Here is a 23,702-nt window from a genome sequence, read left to right as displayed (position 1 = left end):
AACAAAAGGTCATATGCACAAACACAGTGAAAATCTGGGAGTAATTTTTTTCTCTTTTTTTAAAAAAATATGGAATGCTTCACAAATTTGCATGTCATTCTTTCACAGAGGCCGTGCCAATCTCTCTATTGTTCCAACTTAAGTATGTGTGCTACTGAGGCAAGCATGAGTAATTTAAGATAGGGTGGTTAAGTGAAATAAGGAAGAATTATGGAGAATTTAAAAATCTATGCTATTTATAGGCACCTAGTAACAGCTCAGTAAATATTAGCTGCTACTATTATTATTTTTATGGTAATTTCACTCAATTAAAAACTGTCGTTAAAAATTACCATTGTCATGGAACATAATGTCTCCTACTGTATAATTGTAGAAACAGATACAATTTGTCCCTTGGTATATGGGGGGATTAGTTCCAGCTCTCCCATTTCTGTGTATACCAAAATCCACGCATACTCAAGTTTTCGAAGTCAGTCCTGTGGAATCCACATATAACACAAATGGGAAAATTAGTGAGGTGTGGTGACAAGCACCTGTAGTCCCAGCTACTTGTGAGGCTGAGGCAGGAGGATTGCTTGAGCCCAGGAGGTTGAGGCTGCAGTGAGCCATAATTGCACCACTACACTCCAGTCTGGGCAACAGAGTGAGACAGAAGGTTGACTTTTTAATAGAATTTTTCTGTTCACTTGAAGATATGGTCAGGATTGTGGCATATGAAAATTCTTCATAAAATAACTATCTAATCCAATTAATGCTGGAATTGGGAACAGCAGAAGTGTCATCTCAGAGCTACTCGCAATGAAAGGTGATGTCTGGGGCTCAGGTGTGTTGAGGTCCCCATGCCTGGACTATGGGTGCTGAGTGGGATTTACTTGTCCATCCATTTTCTATATTCCAGCACTGGGAAACTAGGGACAGTACTTGTTCTCAAGGGAATCTTCAGCTTAGGTGGCTCTGTAAAAGAGAAATTACATCATTGAAAAATCGTCGCAGGTCAGGTGAGGTGGCTCATACCTATAATCCCAGCCCACTGGGAGACTAAGGCAGGAGGATTCCGTGAGGCCAGGAGTTCAAGACCAGCCTGAGCAACACAGTGAAACCTCATCTCTACAAAAAATTAGAAAATGAACTGGGTGCGGTAAAACATTCGTATAGTCCCAGCTACTCTGGAGGCTGAAATAGGAGGATCGCTTGAGCCCAGGAAGTGGAAGCTGCAGTGAGCTCTGATCTCACCACTGCACTCTAGCCTTGGTGACAGAGTGAGACCCTGTCTTAAGACACACACAAACACACACACACACACACACACACACACCCAATCTCACTCTGTCCAGCCTTGACTAATCAAAAGGGCCTTCTGGTTACAGAAGAGGTATGCTCTTTTGTAGGACAGGGAGAGACCAGCAAGCTTGTTCACAGACTTTTCCTCATCCTCTGCTTAGTTTTCCAAGAACCCTCACAGTGGAAATGGAGTCTCTGGGAAAATGACCTAAATCTTTGGGTTACCAGGGGAGAAATATGCCTCCTTTGTCAATTAATAAATGGAACATCTGCCTTAAAATCCAGGGAGTTCTGCTAGAATGAATCACTCCCTAAGACCCTGACCAATGCATGGAACATGAAAAACTGAAGTTTAACTGGGCGCGGTGGATCACGCCTGTAATCCCAGCACTTTGGGAGGCTGAGGCGGGCGGATCACCTGAGGTCAAAAGTTCTAGATCAGCCTGGCCAACATGGTGAAACCCCGTCTCTACTAAAAATACAAAAATTAGTTGGGCATGGTGGTGGACACCTGTAATCCCAGCTACTTGGGAGGCTGAGGCAGGAAAATCGCTTGAACCCGGAAGGCGGAGGTTGCAGTTACTTCTAGAAGAATTTCCATTAGCCCTTTGAAATCCTTCAACATTCATGAAGGCCAAAGAGTTTTCACCTAATTTAATCTGATGGGTATGTGACCAGAGTCTTTCTAGGGAATAGAGACTCCCAAACAGTTCGACTGGGAAGTGAGGAGAGAATTTATTACTCAAAACCAAAGGGAAATGAAAAGAGGCCAACATAGAATGTCATTATTCTTTCTTGGTGGGGAATGGATTCCAGAGTCATTCTGTGACCTTTACATGACCTCCTTATTAGCATCTAAAAGCTTCCAGTGTAGGATGCAGCCAGCTAGGTTCTCTTCTAATGTAATAAAATTTGCTTCGGCAAATCTTATGCAGAGCCATCTCCAGGCTCCAGAAACAATAGGCTATAAATTACTGGATCTCCCATTTGATACAATGAAGTATGAGCATGGTCCTGAATGACTCCTCTACATACTACTCTGGGTGGCTTGAAGTGAATTTGATACAAGAACTGGAGCGAGGGCAAAGCAGAGCTAGATCTAGGATTAATGTGCTTGGGCCCAGCTCCTCACTACTCACCTATGAGTCTAGTTCCAGAACCCAAGTAGAGGATGGGGAAACAAGGCTCCTGACTTTTTTTCCCTAATGTCTGCATCTCTTTCACATTTCTTATCTCCTTGCAAAGAAACTAAACAGGCTCAACTGAAATAACTAAATGATTAAACCCTATACAGAGAATCTCCAAAGACTGACAAAATATCATTCAAGACTGTTACACAGACAACCTTGAGGATGACTTGATGTACCAGTGATCTACAATATTTGGGATCATTCCAAATTCCCATCAAGGATCTGCCTATATCAACAAAGGAGCCAAGGACCAACCATTCAAATGGGCCCTGCTGCCAAGCCTTTTTTTTTTTTTTTAAACAATGCCATCTCTTCATATTGTTCCATTTAACAAAACTGCAGCCCTTCATCTATCCTTAAGTCCCTTGGCCAGTGGTACAGAGCCAGAGTATGCTACTCCCTAGCAGGAAATCAACAGGATGACCTACTAAACACCATTCAGAAGATGCTAAGACCCATGAATTGCAACAGGAAAGAAAAGACAGAGAATTAGTCAGACAGGTACATGCTGTGCCAAAAATGCACTACAGCCCCCACCCAATTCTGCCTAATCCTAGCTGGGCTGACACCAACCTGATGAGACAGGCCTATAAGATCTCAAACTAAAACAGAAACTCCTGAACTGGGTTCTTTCGAGCCCAGGAAGCAGCAGTAAATCATTAAAGAACAGATAAGTTCTTAAGGTGAGGGAGAGTTTCAGATAAATGGAATGCTGGTAGAACACAGGGCCCAAAGGAGCAAAAGTTAACCTAAGCCCAGGTAGAACCTTGTTTACTAGAGTATTAGGCATGGGTTTGGGCAACTATTCTAACCAGAGAAACTGGCTTCAGTGAGGGCAAGTTGGCAATCCAAGGTATAGCATGCATAGGGCTGGCAAAATTCAGGGTGACTGAAGCAAAAGCTTCATAACCAGAAAGACCACATCTGGGGGTAGAGCACAAAACTCTCAAGAGATGAATCTTTGTAAGAGTGAGGCAGAACTATATAGCAGTTTTAGGAGATCTGTTGGTGCCCAGCAAGAGCTCCAAACGGGCTATATGCAGGGATGCAGGCTGTAGTCTCAGGAGAGGAGGTTCACAAAAGTCATTCAGTCCAAGACCTCAAACTGTGTTCTCTACTAAAAGGAATCAAGGTTCCCTAGAGAAATGGCTGACTCCATGTATGGTGCAGTATATTGATCCTGGAACATCTGTTTTGCCAGAAAGCAAGGAAGCCATCAAAGTCCAACAGGATCACTTCAAAAAGACGTGAAAGTCAACTTGAAGAGATAATTATTAACCTAGATGAGACAATGTAAGTATCCAAAACAATAAAGACTGCAATGGCCTGAAATACATCAAATGCAAACAATAATCTATGAGTTCATAATGGTATTCAGAAAAAAAAACTACTGGTCATTAGAGGGAAGGTTACTAGGTCACTAACTTACTACTCTGAAAAGTGACTTAAGATGAGAGGTAGGGTGGAAAATTAGCTATTTATTCAGTCTTTCCTGTACAAACATAAATTTTTAGGGAGATTGAAGCAGATGAAACAAATCTGGAAAAATGGAGGTAACTGCTTAATCTGCGGGTTGGGTGCATGGAGGTTCAACATATTTCTTTTGTGTATATTTGAACCCCCTACAAAAAAAGCACAAGAGAGAATGTGAGCCAAGCAGCTTAGGGTTTAGGCAAGGCTTCTGCCTACAAGAGACACTAGGATATGAGGGGTAGTTTTAGCCCTAATGGGCTGAGCCAACTGGAGGTATATAGGGAAGTGCTAAATTGCAGAGGTATCATGTTGCCCAGCACTTGATCAAATCCTAGATCCTAGGTCTGCTTGGTAGCATGCTTCCTAGGTAGTGGATCTGAGGCTACCTATAGAACTTCCTTTGCAGTCATAGTTCGCTCAGAAACTACAAAAGTGCTTGCTCTTGAAAATGGAGTCTTTGTCCATTTCATGCTTCTATAAAAGAATACCACAGACTGCATAATTTATAAAAAGGAAAAAAGGAAGGAAAGAAAAAAGGAAGGGAGGAGGGAAGGAGGGAAAAAGGGAAGGAGGGAAGGAAAGGAAGGAAGGGAAAGAAGGAAAGGAAGGAAGGGAAAGAGAGAAAGAGGGAAGGAGGAAGGGAGGGAAGGAGGGAGGGAGGGAGAGAGAGAGGGAGGGAGGGGAAGGGAAGAAAAGGGAAGAGAAGGGAAAGGAGGAAGAAAAGGAAAGGAAAGGAATAAATTTTATTTCTTAACAGTTCTGGATGTTAGGAAGTCCAAGGTTGAGGGGCCTGCATCTGGTAAGGGTCTTCTTGCTGCATCATCCCACTACAGAAGGCAGAAGGAAAAGAGAGTGCAAGAAAGCAAGAGGGCAAAAGGGGCTGAACTCTGTTTTATAATAAGCCCACTCTGTGATTACTAATCTATTACCACAATAACAACATTAACTCATTCATGAAGGCTATTTTATTAGGCCCCACATCCCAACTGTTGCATTGAGGATTGAGTTTCCAGCACATAAACTTTGGGGGACACATTTAAACCATAGCAGAGCACTTAGGTTAATTCAACTAAGAGGAGCTGGGAAAATCAAAGGCATGAGAAAGACAGCAAAAGCTAGCAGAGAGAAATGCATAGGTTAAGGAAAAAAGTCACAGTGAATCCTGTAGTGCAGGCTACTTTATGAAAAGCACCTAAAAAAGATCTCATTAACTCCCCCAGCTCACCTCCACGCACATCTAAAGAGCCACACACAGCACCACCAAAGGCAGCACAATGAGAACAGCATTCTCCTCAACAGACAAGCTGGGAGTATCTAGACACCTGACCTCAATAGCTCCAGAACAGCCCTAAAACATTTCCTCCCTAACCACCACTCAAGTCACCAGCTTGGAAAGTATTAAGAAAACCCAAATCCTGACACACCACTATGAAACAACTTAAAACAGCAAAGAACAACCCATTTAAACAGCATTGCCAGCTGTTGGGAAAAAAAGGAACAATGAGTAGAGGAGAAACAGACCTCTCGGGGTCCACCAAGACCCAGTCTCTCAGCTTCAGCACTTTTAAATGCAGAATCCATACCCCTCTGGGGCCTGTGGAGCTCCACAAGGCATGTCGTCCTCAAAGATAAATGAGCAGGCAAGCTGGCTAGAAAACCACTAAGGGTATTTATTCTTTAAAGAATCTTTACAGGGTCAAAGAAGAATGGGTCTTAACTGGCTATGTGAACTCCCCACAGATTCTGAGGATGATGTCAGTATCCCTTTCCAGATGTGTTTAACACTTTGCAGTCACTTGTATTCCTGCTACTGAGTGCCAGTGCTTTGCTAATTTGAACTGATTCCAGCTCACGCTGAACCCAGCTCCCTGGATGTTACCATTAGCCAAGACTGTCACCCATACTGTACCCTTTCAAAGAGTCCTAAAAACAGCTCTTCACCTACTCTTCCAAGACAAGTAAAAATGTCTGCCAAAGAAATGGGGAAAAAAGATTCAGAGAGTGAAAACAATTAATATACTAACAAGAGAGCAAAAAGCAAAGGGGGAGGAGAAACTAGGAAAATCATATATGGGCTCTCACCTATTTCCAAAGCTGGGCTAATGTCCTTTTGCTTGTGTCTGAATAAGGCACCAATTTTAAGCTGCTAATGAAAAAAAAAGAAAAAGAGAAAGAAGCAGGCCCAGGCTGGGCGCAGTGGCTCATGCCTGTAATCCCAGCACTTTAGGAGGCCGAGGCGGGTGGATCACCCAAGGTCAGGAGTTCTAGACCAGCCTGGTCAACATGGTGAAACACCATCTCTACTAAAAATACAAAAAATTAGCCAGGCATGGTGGCGCATGCCTGTAAATCCAGCTACTAAGGAGGCTGAGGCAGGAGAATTGCTTGAACCTGGAAGGCAGAGAATGTGGTGACCTGAGATCACGTCATTGCCCTCAAGCCACGGCAATGAGAACAAAATTCGGTAAAAACAAAGCAAAACAAAACAAAACCACCATAAAATAACTCAGACTTAATTAAATACAACCCTAGTGGTGAATGACTAAAGATGGATTACTCATAACAGAGACAACAGTCCAATAAGAATCCAGGAATCTTACCTTTTAATAACAAAAAAATCCTTTCCTTCTAAAGTAACATCCTCTCAAGGCCAGGAATTCCATTAGTAGAAAGCCTTCCTAAAAAACAAAATTCCTGGCCAGGCATGGGTTCACGTCTGTAATCTCAGCACTCTGGGAGGCCGAGGCGGGAAGATCACTTGATATCAGGAGTCGAGGCGGGAAGATCACTTGACGTCAGGAGTTCGAGACTGGCCCGGCCAACATGGTGAAACCGCATCTCCACTAAAAATACAAAAATTAGCCTGGTATGGTGGTGGGCACCTGTAATCCCAGTGACTTGGGAGGCTAAGGCAGGAGAATTTCTTGAACCCAGGAGGCAGAGGTTGCAGTGACCAGCAAGGTTGCGCCATTGCACCCCAGCCTGGGCGATAAGAGTGAAAACTCCATCTCAAAAAAAAAAAAAAAAAAAAAATTCCTTTGGGAAGGCCTTCTACATAAAAATCTTCAACATGAGACTGGAAAAAAGGGTATGGGATCATCACCGGACCTTTGGCTTTTACAGCTCGAGCTATAAGAAAAAAAAGAAAAAGGGATATCATTTAAACACAGTATGTAGAAAAGAATAATTATTGAATCTGTACTGGTCTTTAACTTTTACACTTTGATCTTTAATTCTGTTATTGTGATTGAGTCCAAAGAAAAACAGTATGAGTAAAATAAAAAGAACACCAAAAATGCTAATATTCTGTTTACCGAAGTCTGTAGTGAAATATCCCATTAAATCCAAGTGCAGTGACACACCCATAATCCCAAGCACTTTGGGAGGCTGAGGCGGGTGAATCTCCTGAAGTCAGGAGTTCAAGGCCAGCCTGGCCAACATGGTGAAACCCCAACTCTACTACAAATACAAAAATTAGGCAGGCGTGGTGGCAGAGGCCTTTAATCCCAGCTACTTAGGAGGCTGAGGCAGGGAGAATTGCTTGAACACAGGAGGTGAGCTTGCCATGAGCTGAGATCATACCACTGCACTCCAGCGTGCGTGACAGAACAAAACTTCAACCTCCAAAAAAAAAAAAAAAAAAAAAAACAGCTAGCAGGTGACATTTGCTATAGGGAGACTAGGGATATGATCTTGCTGCAATCTTTCCATTTTAGTAAATCTAAACAAGTGTGAATCCATTCTGTTTCATCCCCACTCCACTCCAGAGCCAAAACAAGAAAAACAATTATATTTCTAGTTCTTTAAAAACATATCTAACTAAATCATCTAATTAAAAGATAATATGCATGGTTCCATACTCTAAAAGAAAACTTATGTCCTGCATATCATGGACATTTGATGAATGCTTATTCAGTTGACTGGTGTAGACTTCAATAATAACCTGTTCAATGCATTATGCCAGATGAATCTTGCATCTCAAAAGTAGAACAAATATTGTTCTTTCAGTTTTGTCTACCCATAAATGCAATATTTACTAATAAAAAGAAAATGAGTTTATTGTTCTAGAGAGTATGAGAATTTTGACAACATGAATTCTCCTGTCCTAGGACATAATTAATACTTAGAGGCATACTATTTCATGTGGAAGCTACCATTAAATCAATGTTAAGTGTTAATTACCTCACATAATCTTCTAATCTGACTTGACTGAAGACGTACCTGACAAAGTTGATTTATCAAGTTGTAAATCTTCACCTGTTGAATTCATAAGTTCATGTCTGAAAGGTGAGAATAAATACTTAATATTCATTAGGCAATATTCAGCAAAGTAATATCCACTAGTACATATTTAATATTTCATCATGAACTGCGGGTGTGAAGAGAAAAGACAGGCTGGGCACAGTGGCTCACACCTGTAATCCCAGCAGTTTGGGAGGCCGAGGCAGGCAGATCATGAGGTCAGGAGTTCGAGACCAGCCTGGCCAACATGGTAAAACCCCGTCTGTACTAAAAGTACAATAATTAGCTGGGCATGGTGGCAGGCACCTGTAATCCCAGCTACTCGGGAGGCTGAGGCAGGAGAATTGCCTGAACCCAGGAGGTGGAGGTTGCAGAAACCATTATCACGCCACTGCATTCCAGCCTGGGCAAGAGAGCAAGATTCTGTCTCCATCAATCAATCAATAAAAATATAAGAAGGAAGCATTTACTGTGTATTTATATGTCTGGTATTATGTGAAGCACTTTACTATCTTATCAAATCTTCGGGACAGATCTTCAGTTCTCATGACCACAAAAGAGGATACTAAAGCTCAGACAGGAGAAGAGACGTGGCCAGCCTGTGTCCCCAGGGCCTATGGTCTTACCACTAGGTTACAGTGTTTCCAGATATCACATGTTGTGAGATTTTTGCTTTAAAATGAACCAAAAAAAAACCAAAGGTGAAAAAGGCATAAGCTATTAAAAAGTGGGAGAAACACTAAGAGAACCTTAAGCATGTAACTAAAAATATTATGGAAATGTTATTGAATACATTAGCAAATTTAGTGCTAGGTTTTCATTGAGGAGTAGGTTATATTACTCATGATGAAGAAAAATGTTCATTTTAAGTATATTAACATAAATACCATCAATATTGTTTATCATGTTTAAATGTTCACTTAAAGCAATTCAGTTAAAATTCTGCATATCATACAATTTTATAGTTTGCTAGTAGGTTACAAGTAAATAGTCACCCAAATAAAAACATCATGTTTTCCACTGGTTGTTGCTCTTTTTTAGGTGAGTATTTGATATATACCAACAGAGAGAGGATAATAACAAATCGCTAATTTCTTTCATCACTATATAAAGGTGGCTTCAGGATAGAATAGTATCAGTGTAATGATGAATTTGAAATCTAACATCAATTCAGTGATGCATCAAGATAAAAGTAGAGACAACAGGGGCACCTTGGTGAGTACTGAACATTTTATTTATTTATTTATTTTGAGATGGAGTTTTGCTCTTTTTGCCCAGGCTACAGTGCAATGGTGCCAACCTCGCCTCACTGCAACCTCTGCCTCCTGGGTTCAAGCGATTCTCCTGCCTTGGCCTCCCGAATAGCTGGGATTACAGACATGCGCCACCACACCCGTCTAATTTTGTATTTTTAGTAGAGACGGGGTTTCTCCATGTTGGTTAGGCTGGTCTCGAACTCCCGACCTAGATATCTGCCTGCCTTGGCCTCCCAAAGTGCTGGGATTACAGGTGTGAGCCACCACGCCCAGATGAATTCCAAATTTAACAAAGCAGACTAAGAGAAACAATTCATTTAAAAAAATAATATTTGGCCAGGCATGGTGGCTCACACCTATAATCCCAGCACTTTGGGAGGCTGAGGTGAGTGGATCAGGAGGTCAGCAGTTCAAGACCAGCCTAGCCAAGATCATGAAACCCTGTCTCTACTAAAAATACAAAAATCAGCCAGGCGTGGTGGCTGGTGCCTGTAATCCTAGCTGCTCGGGAGGCTGAGGCAGAGAACTGCTTGAACCCGGGAGGCGGAGGTTGCAGTGAGCCGAGATCGTGCCACTGCACTCCAGCCTGGGCGACAGAGTGAGGCTCCGTCTCAAAAAAAATAAATAAATAATTCAATGAAATTCCTAAGATCCAGGGCTTTGCAATAAATATGTAAATAAATTTCCAATCTCCATACTGAAAGTTTAAAAGAAATGCTAACTAATAACTAAAGAAATACAACTTTTCCTCAGCTTTGCAGCAATCTAGAAACAAAGTGTGTAGACACTACAAAGCACCTTACAAGGAGAAACATATAAGGATGGCATGACTCGCCGGCAGCCCTGGGATTGTCCACGGTACCCCCATGATGAACAGTAACTCCACTGTGTAAACGCCCATGAACCTAAGATTACAAGACTTTTCCAGTTTAGACATACCATATTTTCTTTCAGACAATTCTTCAGTTTGTTTACGTAGATCAGCGATACGATGATTCCATTTCTCTGAAAACCAAGCAAAAGTTGCTTCTCAATAACACGTCCCTATGTCAGAGCAGCACTAACATATAATGACTGATTTCATATATTTTACATTCTAACAGTCCATATCATTTTACTGCTTTCAAGAAAAAATTTCCCCTTCTTGGTGGTTCTTAGAATTGGTTTAATGGGAGACTATTAGAGAAGCTGAAAAGCAGGAGGGCAGAAAAGTTCAATCAAATTAAACACAATAACAGGGAGGTCACAATGAGGCGGTCTCCAGGGGTCTTTTAGCAAACTTCCTAAAACATGTCTCAGCTGTGTGAAATAAGACTTTACAGCAGCCGGGTGCAGTGGTGCAGGCCTGTAATCCCAGCACTTTGGCAGCAGAGGCAGGCGGATCACTTTGAGCTCAGGGCAACATAGCCAAAACCCCCCTCCCTAGCCCCACCCCCACCCCGTCCCTACCAAAAATACAAAACAGCAGGGCATGGTGGCGGGCGCCTGTAGTCCCAGCTACTCAGGAGGCTGAGGCAGGAGAATCACCTGAACCCAGGAGGCAGACATTGCAGTGAGCCAAGATCACGCCACTGCCAGCCTGGATGACAGAGCAAGACTCCACCTCAAAAAAAACAAAAACAAAAACACAAGGTTAAGAGGGACCCCCGACCTTACAGATACAAGTTTAAGAGGGACCCCTAAGCAAAAAATGCCAACCCTTTTTCTCCCAATCATTGAAACACCAGGAGGGTGTAACAGTTTTGCAGCCTAGCTGTAGCAGGCTGATGCCCCCAAGATGCCCATATCCTAATCCCGGGAACTGGTGAACATGACCTTATATGGCAAAAGGAACTTTGCAGATATAATGAAGTTAAGGGTCTTTGGCTTTTGGGGTTGATGTACTCACTCGGATCCTTGTAAGAGCAGAGCAGGTGATGGAGAGGGTGGGAGGTGTAGTGACAGAAGCAGGAAACTCCAGTCATTCGAGACGGGCAGCACAAGCTGCGGAGTGCAGGCCACCTCTACGGCCAGGAAACGGATTCTCCCGCAGAGCCTCGGAAGCTACCGACCCTGCTCCCACCTTGACTCAGTAGGACTTACTGTAGAATTCTGGCCTTCAGACCTGTAAGGGAATACATTTTGGTTGTTTTAAGTCACTAAGTTTGTGGTAATTTGTTGCAGCAGCCACAGGAAACTAGTATTGTAGTGAAGCCTCAAAACCCCCCTGAAGGGGCTGGGCTCAGTGGCTCATGCCTGTAATCCCAGCACTTTGGGAGGCCGAGATGGGTGGATCACTTGAGGTCAGGAGTTCGAGACCAGCCCAGCCAACATGGTGAAATGCCATCTATACAAAAAATACAAAAACTAGCCGGGCATGGTGGCACATGCCTGTAATCTCAGCTACTCAGGAGGCTGAGACAGGAGAATTGTTTGAACCCAGGGGGGCAGAGGTTGCAGTGAACTGAGATTCCACCACTGCACTCCAGCCTGGGTGACAGAGCGACGCTCCATCTCGAAAACAAAACAAAACAAAAAAACCCCACCTGAAGGTTTCCAGTTCTGCCAGCACTCTCCCACCCAACCCCCAGAAACAGACATTCCATTGCTGTGGGCCACGGACAGGCAGAAGGAAGCACCTCCTCATGGCAGAGGCCTACCCAGGAGAAACCCAAGGGAAGGCACTACTGGGCTGGCCCCTCTCTGCCAAGGCCATATTCTTTTTTTTTTTGAGGCCAGTTTCACTCTGTCTCCCAGACTGGAGTGCAGGGGCACAATCTCGGCTCACTTCGACCTCTGCCTCCCCAGTTCAAGTGATTCTCCTGCCTCAGTCTCCTGAGTAGCTGGGATGACAGGAGTGTAGCATGCCTAGCTAATTTTTGTATTTCTAGTAGAGATGCGGTTTTGCCATGTTGCCCAGGCTGGACTCGAACTCCTTGCCTCAAGTAGTCCACCTGTCTCAGCCCCGCAAAGTGCTGCTATTATAGGAGTGAGCCACTGCACCCAGCATTTGCCAAGACCTTTGATGGCAGGCTTTTTCCAGGTGATCAGTCCTTGTCTGGTCTGGCTCTGCCCCACTCTCCTTCTAACCTAGTTGGAATCCCTAGCTACTTTTCAGTAGAGGAGAGTGTGTACCCCAATCCCAGCTTGGTTCAGATCTGCATTTAACTCATGGAACCTGGCTGCTCCCCAGGTTCTGAAGAAAAAAACGGTCTCTCTGTGGGTATGATAAAGGATGGGCCTGTCCCCAGGACCCTGTGAGAGGGAAGCCCAATGTCCCACCAGGTTGGCAGGGCTGGGGAAGGGAAAGTGTTATGGCAGCCCCAAGAAAAAAAAGAGGCAGCAGAGGGAGCAGGACAGCGCTCACATGGAACTCATGCCACTGCCTGAGGGGAGGGAGGAGTGCACGCCAGTGACGTCAGGGGGCAGAGAGGCGCAGTTCCAGGGCGGCTTTCCCCCTCACTTCCTGCCATGTTACTCTGATCGCCTCCAGGTGAGCCTGCCCACTTTGTGCCCAGGGGCCTGTAGAAAACCACAGCTCCCCATGGTTATGGCCCCAGGAGTGGGGCAGAGCAGGGAGGAGTCCTGGACAGAGGAGAGGCAGGGGCAGGAGGGAGTGGGCCTCAAACTCCAGGAGGGGGCCCTTCTCATGGGTCCTGCTTTCTGGCTTCTCCTTCCTTACCCCTGGGCTGATCACTTGGGGAAGAACTGAGACAAAGTTTCTCACCCTCAGGCCCAAAGGGTTTAATTACTGGGCCCTTAGGGAGGTGTGAGCCCCCTGAAAGGATGCAAGGTTTTGTTTTGTTTTGTTTTTTGAGACAGAGTTTCGCTCCTGTCGCCCAGGCTGGAGTGCAGTGGCGTGATCTCACCACACTACAACCTGCGCCTCCCAGGTTCAAGTGATTCTCCTGCCTCAGCCTCTGGAGTAGCTGGGATTACAGGTGGCTGCCACCACGCCTGGCTAATTTTTTGTATTTTTAGTAGAGACAGGGTTTCGCCATGTTGGCCAGGCTGGTCTTGAACTCCTGACCTCAGGTGATCCGACTGGCTCCGCCTCCCAAAGTTCTGGGATCACATCAGCCACTGTGCTTGGCCACAATGAAAGGTTTTGTGTGGAGAGCATGTACATGCCTTTCTGGGAAAACAGTCCACAGCTCTTATTCTCAGCAGGCTTCACGGTGAAAAAAGGTTAGAACTCTTGCTACAGAGCTGTGGAAGCAGCCAGGTGAGGGGCCTGCCAAGGGCACTCTGGGCACTACCTGGGCACTCTCGAGCCCATCATCCCCTAGGCAGGCTGCACTGCTTGGTATTTGCAGAGCTGAGGGGGTGGGGCATGTGGGGACTGTGAAATCGCCCTGAGATGACCCACAGTCCTCAGCTAGGAAGTGAGCGCTGCATCTCCTGCAGCGTCCTCCATCCCTAGAGCCATGGGGCCAGGAGAACCGGCCCTTGCAGCAAGTGAAAAGCCTATTATTGATTCCCTCCCTAGCCATGTAGACAGTGAACCAAGACACTCATATCAGGTAAATGCCTTGTTCTCTGTTACCAAGGTAACCAGTAGGCATTCCCAGATACAGTGAAGGTCCTCACACCAAGATATGCACCTGGCCACCTGAGGAAAGAGAAAGGACTATCTGAGGGGACGGGGCTGAGCTGGGTGTGGAGTGGTCCTTGTGGGTCTTGGAGAGTGGGAGGGGGAGCAGCATGAGCCAGGCCTCGAGGCAGAAGGACAACCAGGAGACAGCCTGGAAAAAGTGCTGGACCCACAAGGGCTCAAGGCTGGCCAGAGGGGAGGTGGGATAGGCTGTAAAGTCCTGAGGTCTGAAGATTGGCCCTGGCAGGAAGAAACCAGGTAAGGTGGGGTGTTACCTACACCCTCGGGGCCAGATGCAGGCCAGAGCCAGCCAATTACCAGGCCCTTAGGGAGGTGTGAGCCCCTTGAAATGATGCAAGGTTTTTTGTTTTTGTTTTGGAGACGGAGTTTCGCTCTTGTCACACAGGCTGGCACCTTTGCCCAGAGCAGGCACCAAGACTTCTGGCTCTGGGTGTGACCTCAGTCTGGGTAAAAGCCCCAGCCCCCACCAGCACCACCTACCCCCTAGACTACTTCAGGTGCTGAGCCCAAGCCAGGGGCAGGAAGCTAAACTGATGCCTAGGGTAATCCCAACAAAGTCCCTGGTTCCCCGCAGCTATGGGGCTGACGGGGAATTACAGCCCAAACCCCAGATGCTGGCTCTCAAACTAACACTGAGCCCTCAGTGCCCACAGGGAGATACAATCAGCGCACTTTCCAGATGGGGAAATGGGATCAGAGAAGTGCAACAGCCTTGCCCAATGCCCCAGACCAGGGCTCCAGGCCCAGAGTGTTCTTTTGTCACTGTGTTCAGAGGGCAGCAGCTGCTGTGATGTACCCACCTGAGCCTGGCAGCTTTCTCCAACTTTGGAAGCCCAGGAGCATGGCCCCTGTCCACAGATGCACCTGGCATGAGGCGTGCCCAGAGGGACAGAGGCAGATGAGTTTCGTCTCCTCCACTGGATTGTGAGGGCCTAGAAGGAGACAAGGGTCTGCTTGAGAAGGCAGTGAACAGCGAGCAGCCTGAGGCAGTGCCCCTCTGGATGGATGCGCAGTGCCTGGATGGAACCTGGCTCAGACAGAGCTCAGTTCTGCAGGTCCCTGAGGCATGGAGAGTTCACAGCTACCAAGTGTAGGAGTCTGGATTCAAAGCCAACGGCGTGACTCCAAAGTCCCTGCCCTAGCCCCTGGACCACCCTTGCAGGCCCATCAGATGCCCAGGCCAGCAGCACAGCCGGCCAAGACCAGGGAAACTTGGGGAGCCTCAGAGCACCCCCAGGTATTCCAACCTAACCCTGGTGCCCCGCCTCTCACCACCCTTCTTCCTGCTTTAACCTCAACCCCTACACAAAGCCTGGGCCACTTAATGTGGCATCAAACAGACGCCTCAATAAATCAGTCTAATCTCGAAAAAAAAAAAGACTTAACAGATATACAATTGCACGTTAGAATGCTAAAGACCATAAACATATAACAACTTAAAGTACATATAAATTCAATATATATCCAATCATTGTAACTATGACACAGTAGAATATTAAAATACTATTTTCAAAATGTATACAAGCTTAATGTTCTATGTATTCAAACTATTTATTCAAAATACAAATCATCAACATACATTGCCACTAATATTCAGTCCCTTCACAGGACATGATTCACTGGGAGTTAATAAATTAGCAGCCAGCAGGCAGTGACACACCGCAAAAATGAAAACCAAGAGGTGAAATAGTTCTGAAATAAAGGTTTTAAAGCTAACAGAAATCACTGAATTACTAAGTCATTAGCACTAATTTTGAGCCAACTAACTAATTAATATGAGATGATACAATGTCCTATACTTTGGTAAATACAGACTATGTTTAAACAATGTCTGTAACGTGACTTGTAAAATGCTCCTGGCTTTACAAAGATGTGATTAAGATGTAGTAACACATGCTAAACCATTTCCCCCTGCAGAGCATGTGGTAACTTTCATCAGTCACACTGAGAGTCCAGAAGATAAAGGAAAAGGTCATGGATTTCGCTGAGAACTTACCAGAGTTGAACTCCCTCATTTTCCGTTCCCCAGCATTGGCAGGTTCTGGGACTGGTGGCTGTGGTGGCTCGTTGGTCTTTGTCTCTTAGAAGGTGGGGAATAATCATCATCTTGAAAAAGAAAAAATGGTCATTACTGAAGGAAACATCTTAGGTTACAGCCACCTCTGGGTCAATTCCCAACATTCAAAAGCTGAGCAGGGCTTTAAAGCTATCTTATTAATAATTATTTCTGTATTGCGAACTTCAGCATACTTTTTTCTAGTTACATTTGAAATGTTATTCTTTTGGGATGTGCTCAAGTGAGTACTGCTTTTTCCTCTGCCTTGCTTCATTACTTTTTAGTTTCCTTCATTTGAATCATCATTGTAAGTCTCCCCTTCTCCTCAAATAACTTTCAAATTGCTGCCAAGAACTACGTTCTATCTTAAGGCTTTTGAGAAAAAACTTTCAATGAAGATAGCCGCCTAAAGTTATACAAATATAGAAGAAACGGGATAAAATAAAGCTTAGATTGGAAAAAATATTTAAGATTCTACAAAATTCACGCGTAAACAAGGGAAGCTGAGTAATTGTATGTTCAAATACTTTTAACAAGTGCAAAACATGTAGGCTTAAAGAAATAGAGCTGGCCAGGCATGGTGGTTCACGCCTGTAATTCCAACAGTTTGGGAGGCCAAGGCAGGCAGATAACTTGAGGTCAGGAATTCGAGACCAGCCTGGCCAACAGAGTGAAACCCTCTCTCTACTAAAAATACAAAAATTAGGCCAGGAGTGATGGCTCACGCCTGTGATCCCAGCACTTTGAGAGGCCGAGGCGGGTAGATCACCTGAGGTCAGGAGTTTGAGACCAGCCTAACCAACATAGGGAAACCCCGTCTCTACTAAAACTACAACATTAGCCGGGTGTGGTGGCACATGCCTGTAATCCCAGCTACTCGGGAGGCTGAGGCAGGAGAATCCCTTGAACCCAAAAGGCAAAGATTGTGGTGAGCCGAGATTGTGCCATTGCACTCCAGCCTGGGCAAAAACAGCGAAACTCCGTCTCAAAAAAAAAAAAAAAGAAAAAATTAGCCAGGCATGGTGAAGTTGCAGTGAGCTGAGACTGCACCATTGCACTCCAGCCTGGGTAGCAGAGCAAGACCCTGTCTCAAAAAAAAAAAAAAAAAGAGAGAGAGAGAAAGAAAGAAAGAGGGCTACATTATTTATGAAACAGATACTGTTAACTCAGTCACCAGAAAGCCTGTGTATAAATGAGCAGTGAGATATTCAAGCACAGCACACACACACTTCTCAGGACAGCTGTCGTGAGTGTTCCATGCTCGTTTCCTTCTGGATACATCAGCAACTCACTCTGCTATGATCCTGCAATACATCTCATGTTAGAATTAGAGACATCTGGGCCAGGCACAGTGGCTGACGCCTGTAATCCTAACACTTTGGGAAGCCGAGGCAGGCACATCACCTAAGGTCAGGAGTTCGAGACCAGCCTGGCCAACATGGTGAAATGCTGTCTCTACCAAAAATACAAAAAATTAGCTGGGCATGGTGGCGCGCGCCTGTAATCCCAGCTACTCGGGAGCCTGAGGCAGGAGAATCGCTTGAACCCGGGAGGTGGAGGTTGCAGTGAGCCGAGATCGTGCCACTGCACTCCAGCATGGGGGACGGAGCAAGGCTCTGTCAAAAAAAAAAAACAGAAAAAGAAAAAGAAAAAAGAATTAGAGACATCTGGATCAAATCAGCTGCCAGTCTCGCAAAGTGTCGGGTAACATCCTATTAAGCTTGCTGCTTACACATCATCTATAAAATACTGAAAATATCATTTTAAGAAATCTTTTTTTTATTTTGAGACAGAGTTTTGCTCGTTGCCCAGGCTGGAGTGCAATGGTGCGATCTCAGCTCACTGCAATCTCTGCCCCCTGGGTTCAAGCAATTCTCCTTCCTCAGCCTCCTGAGTAGCTGGGATTACAGGCATGCACCACCACGCCTGGCTAATTTTGTATTTTCAGTTGAGACAGGGTTTCTCCATATTGGTCAGGCTGGTCTCGAACTCCTGACCTCAGGTGATCCACTGACCTTGGCCTCCCAAAGTGCTGGGATTACAGGTGTGAGCCACCATGCCTAGCCAAGAAACCCTTATTTTAAAACAAGCCAGGCGCGGTGGCTCATGCCTATAATCCCAGCACTTTGGGAAGCCAAGGCAGGTGGATCACTTGACGTCAGTAGTTTGAGACCAGCCCGGGCAACATGTTGTAACCCCATCTCTACTAAAAATATATTTTAAAAATTAGCTGGGCATGGTGGTGGGCACCTGTAATCCCAGCTTCTCAGGAGGCTGAGGCAGGAGAACCACTTGAACCTGGGAGGTGGTGGTTGCAGTGAGCGGAGATCACGCCACTGCACTCTAGCCTGGGTGACAATAGAAAGACTCCATCTCAAAAACAAAACAAAACAAAACAAAACAAAAAACCACTAAAAAAAAGACTCCATTTCAAAAACAAAACTAAAACCAAAAACACAACACAAATGTAGTACACAAATGAAAATAATTACTGTGTTAAACACAGTTTCATAGAAAATAAAAGACCAATCAAATACAATAAGCTGCCTTTTTAGATGGGTATGTTATTCTTCTTTCACAGCTAAAGAAACAGGCTCAGAGAATGTTATTTGATTGGACCGTGTTGCATTTCTGGACAGTGCAGCTGAGATCAGACTTTGTGTGTAACTCCACTAGCCTACCAGGGTGCCTCTCATAAAGGTAAGAAATGTAAATTTGGCCTAATATACAAAGTTGCCAGGGCAGCACTGGGTCAATTCTACATACAGTACTTCTATGTTCATCAAGGGAAACCTTAAGGGAAAGTGAAAATGCTTCTAGAAGGCGACTGGACACCAGCGCCTTTGCTTGTTGCCTTTGGGCTCTTCTTCTAAGGCCAACAGTGACCTGAAATTATTGACTGGCTTTTCCAATCAAGTGGACAAAATGGTACCAAGGTCACCAACATCGATGTAGAACATCGATGTTCTACAACATTGCTTAACGCAAGGGGAGACGCTCCTGACTCAGAGTGTTTAATTGCTCACCTACTTCTTTTTCTGCCCTCTTGGGCTTCTGAAATGAAAAGAACCCTGGGGTGATACAGTGAGTCAAAGGGGTGCCAGCCGCATCACAGCAAAATAGATTCCTAAAAAATCCCTGGCCTAAGATGACAGCCTTGGCTGGATCAGTTTGAATGTGCTGATAGTGGACATGGTAGAATGAAGGTGGTTGAAATGTTCATATTAAAGAACTTCCACCCAGATTGCAAGAAAAGAGAGAAGAATGGAGACGGCAGCACGAGCCCCTACAATAAAAGCAGATGTTTTGAGATCAGTTATATTTCTTCTGACAAAAATTAAAGACAGAAACCAAAGTTTAGCCTGAGACTACAATTAATTGGGCAATAAGCCAGAGGCACATATGGCATAAGACAGATTTAAACATTTCTCCCTGATATTAATACAAACACTAAAATTACAAATACTTTGATTCCAAATAAAACAAATATTTAAAAAATTTAATGAATAAACACTGGGGTCTACAGTAGTATTTGAAGATCTCACAAACAGGTTTGGTTTTTGAAGGTTAGAACTGGTGGTCTAGAGAATTCATTTCATTCCAGAGAAAGAAAGAGAGGAATTTCTTGGGTTCCTTCAGGAATGCGTCTAGCTTTGCCTCATCTTTGTTTGAACTATGGATACGGCAGAAGAAAACATGAGGATTTCACAGATTTAAGGTGCAAAAAGTCACTGGGTTCTCTAAGAAGTCTGGGATTCTTCTGCTGGAAAAATAAGTTTGTTGAGAAAAAATGAGTTGGAGGAGGCTGTTATTGAAGTGAAGCAGAATTGTTTTTACTAGTCTGCTTATTACCCACTCTGTAGTGTGGAAACAAATTATTCATGCACAAGGTCCTCTTACTGTTCCTAGAATGCAGTGGAAAGAGAACAGATTAGTTTTCCTCCCTCAGAACACAACCCCTAGAAACATCCTACCTCAGATGAGATATTGCCTAATTATTTTCAAAAGACAGTGAAACATCATGGATGTAAATGTTTGCTACAAAATAAATACATGCTAGAAACAGAAGCATCTGGGTCACAGCTATATTAGAGCTACCTGTGTTCCCCTGTCACTGACATTAAAACAAAAATGTCCAATACAATCATTCACAGCGTGGGAGAGGGGAAGTTGAAGGATGGAAAGGCCAGGCATAAAAGGATTTCAGAATTTCCGTCCATAAGGAAGTGGCTTTGTGCACTGTCTGTTACTGCGTGCAAGGTGAAATTTGAAGAATGAAAACGTGCAGTAACAAGGGCTCCTTTGTCCAACTCACCTCTCCAGATACCAACTTTCAGACATGTTGCATTTTAATTGAAAGGTTGATATAATTTTTTTTAAAGAACACTTGCGGTGTTTGAAGTGACAAAGGCTGCTGTGACAAAAAAGCAGGGAAAGGGAATTTTTTTTTAAAAGCAAACAACAACAACAGAAACCCCACAGAAAAGCAAACAACAAACAAACAAAAAACAGAGGAAGTAGTCGAACACCCTGGGCTGTGACTACTTCCAGGAAGGGGCTACAAGAGGCAGTTGGAAATTCTATTTGTTTTGCAACTGTGGGTTTTCCGGCCTGCTTCCTTTCTAAAGCATATTACTCTGCTTTTGGTTCATGAAGTTATCCATTTCTGTTTTCTGGAACAGCTATGTATTTTCTTTATCTATCATCTATCTATCTATTTACCATCTATCTTTTCTACCTTTCGCTATCAAGAGCTTGGGTCAAGCAGGATAGAATTCCAGTGTATGTTCACTCTACCATTTAAAACAAGAGCTCTTGTAGGCATTCTCCATCACATCATAAACCTGAGCTTTCTAAAACAGGGTGTGGCAAACTACCATGCATGGACCATGTCTGACACAGTCTGCATTTGTAAGTAAAGTTGTAATGGGACACAGCCAATACATGTGTTACATAATGTCTCTGGCTACTTTCATGGTATAATGGAAGAGCTGAGTCATTGAGAGAGAGACCATATGGCTTGGAAAACTTAAAATATTTAACATTTAGCCCCCTGCAGAAAATACTTGCTGACTCTTGTTTTAAAAGATCTCTGTTTAGAATGCTACCTATTGCGTTCTGGATAGAATCACAACTCTTTACCACAATCGACACAGCTTCAGCCCTGCTTCTATATCCAGCCTCATCTATTTCTGCTCCTCCTCCTTATTTTCCTTCTGGCCATGCTGATGGATTGTCAGCTTCCCAGATGTGCAAGAATCTCTCCTCCCTTCCCAACATTCTCATGCTCTCCCTCTGCCTCTGAAGAACTTCCTGCCCCATCTCTCATGACAAATCCTTTCTACATTCTTTAAGATGCAGCCCCTTTGCTCCTTCCTTAAGGATGTCTGTCTGGCTCTATTTTGGGTGACGTGCTCCTTCTGCATCTCCCAGAGCCAGCCTGTGTGTGTCAGCTACAACATTTCTTTGCATCTCTGTGTCATATATCACCAAATCTGCCTAAGCTTGCATGAGTCACTGCATGACAACTTCAGACTCCACCAGCATTGTCCCCACTAACCACAAGGCTTAGACATTCGTCCAGTATGCTCGGGGTTGTGGGGTGGTAGCAGTAACCGGCTGGTGACCATCATTTCTTACATCAGAATCAAATCTGTAGATCTCTGCCATTCATAAGTATTTGGAGTTTAAAATTAGCATAAAGATTTTCCTTAAAATAAGAACAAATGGCTTGAGTAGGCTTTTGGAACACAGGATGTTTCCACTGGTTCATTTCTGTGTTCAATATTCCCACATGAATCTAAACACGGCTCTGCTCTTAGTAGCTATGTGACCCTAGGAAAGTCACTCAATCTCCCTCAGCTAAATTTTGTTGTGTGAGTAATGAGGAGAGAGTTGTGATTTGTATTTAGTGAAAAATAACAAACAAAAGGCATTTAGATTTCTGGAACCTGGTATGTAGTAGAACCTCATGAAATACTAGCTCTGTTGAAAAAACTAGACTGAAAGAAGCTTACAAAGTCAACAAGAGTTTGAGGCAGTGAAGGACTTAGAGGAGGAGCTGCTGCTGCAGCCTGTAGCTCCTGGAAGCCCGTTTTGTCCATGATTTAGCAGGAATGCATTACCCTTCCATGAGGAGGCACTGCCCACAGAAACCAAGGCCATTCTTTGAAGACAAACATGTCTTAATAGCCTTTACATTATGTAATAGTGTAATACAAATAATAATTTATTATTAGTAATAATGTGAAATTATTTACAGTACCCTAACCCTAACCCTAACCCCTAATCCTAACCCTAATCCTAACCCTAACCCTAACCCTAACCCCTAACCCCTAACCCTAACCCTAAAACCCTAACCCTAAAACCCTAACCATAACCCTTACCCTTACCCTAATCCTAACCCTAATCCTTACCCTTACCCTTACCCTGACCCTAACCCTAATCCTTACCCTTATCCTACCCCTAACCCTTAACCCCTAACCGCTAGCCCTAACCCTTAACCCTAACCATAACCCTAAAACGCTAACCCTCATCCTCACCCTCACACCTCACCCTCACCCAAACCATAATCCCTAACCCCTAACTCTTAACCCCTAACCCTAACCCTTGACCCTAACCCTTGACCCTAACCCCTGACCCTGACCCTTAACCCTAACCCCTAACCCTTAACCCTTAAACCTTAACCCTCATCCTCACCCTCACCCTCACCCCTAACCCTAACCCCTAACCCCTAACCCAAACCCTAACCCTAAACCCTAACCCTAAACCCAACCCAAACCCTAACCTGAACCCTAACCCGAACCATAAACCTGAACCCTAAATCCAAACCTGAACCCGAACCCTAACCATAACCCAAACCCGAACCCAAACCCTAACCCCTAACCCCTAACCCTAACCCTACCCTAACCCAACCCTAACCCAACCCTAACTCTAGCCCTAGCCCTAGCCCTAGCCCTAAGCCCTAAGCCCTAAGCCTAACCCCAACCCCAACCCCAACCCTAACCCTAACCCTAACCCTTCCTCAGCCTCTCAACCTGCTTGGGTTATAGGTATGAGCCCGGGTGCCTGGCCAAACATTCCATTTTATATGTATATGCTAGGAATGAATAATCTCTACACCAAATTATGAAAATTCTACCTTAAACAATACCAATAGCAATATTATACTTAGGAATAAATGGAATGAAACGACAAGACTTAGATGAGGGAAATTATAAGACATTACTTAAGGAAATTAAACTTCCAGTAAATGTAAAAATGTATCTTATTTGTGGATTTGTAGACCACATTGTTAAGTTTCCCAAAGTACACAAAGCAATCCATGGATTCGATGTTATTCCTACAAAAATCCCAAAGGCCTTGGGACAGAAGTGGATAAGCTGATCCTGATCACATCCCAATTTCAAATTTTATTACAAAGGAACAGTAATAAAAACAGTGGGATCCTTGCACAGGAATAAACAGAAAGATCAACTGAATTGAATTGGGAGTCCAGACAGAAAACAATACCTCTATGCTCAACTGATTTTAGACAAGGTCCATTACCAGTAAATTGGGGAAAGAATCCTGTCCTCAACAAGTGATGTAAGGCAACTTGCTATCCACAT

General features: G+C 44.3%; 2 long non-coding RNA genes and 1 pseudogene across 4 annotated transcripts in view; all 3 read right to left on the bottom strand.

The window, feature by feature from the left end:
- The window catches only part of FAM157B (family with sequence similarity 157 member B), a 55,218-nt gene that overhangs the window by 12,312 nt on the left and 19,204 nt on the right, over positions 1 to 23,702 (bottom strand). Inside the window, exons 6-12 of the long non-coding RNA NR_146178.1 lie at positions 16,033 to 16,142; positions 14,837 to 14,968; positions 11,331 to 11,546; positions 10,382 to 10,447; positions 8,166 to 8,224; positions 6,545 to 7,073; positions 873 to 954 (exon numbers count right to left, since the gene is read on the bottom strand). This is a non-coding gene — a long non-coding RNA (family with sequence similarity 157 member B). The remainder of the gene's footprint in view (positions 1 to 872; positions 955 to 6,544; positions 7,074 to 8,165; positions 8,225 to 10,381; positions 10,448 to 11,330; positions 11,547 to 14,836; positions 14,969 to 16,032; positions 16,143 to 23,702) is intronic.
- On the bottom strand, positions 64 to 167 carry RNU6-785P (RNA, U6 small nuclear 785, pseudogene; annotated as a pseudogene).
- LOC124902321 (uncharacterized) lies at positions 18,812 to 22,372 on the bottom strand. Of its 3 annotated transcripts, none has more exons than XR_007061890.1 (2): positions 19,945 to 22,372; positions 18,812 to 19,855 (listed from the first exon to the last, which is right to left on the bottom strand). It is a non-coding gene; the product is annotated as an uncharacterized LOC124902321 (long non-coding RNA). The 3 variants fall into 3 exon arrangements; XR_007061889.1 differs by having other exon boundaries at positions 19,949 to 22,372; XR_007061888.1 differs by having other exon boundaries at positions 18,812 to 19,852; positions 19,949 to 22,372.

Source organism: Homo sapiens, chromosome 9 (assembly GCF_000001405.40).
Source record: "Homo sapiens chromosome 9, GRCh38.p14 Primary Assembly".
NCBI lineage: Eukaryota > Metazoa > Chordata > Mammalia > Primates > Hominidae > Homo > Homo sapiens.
The sequence above is the reverse complement of the archived record's forward strand: the minus strand, read 5'-3'. Positions and strand labels throughout refer to the sequence as shown.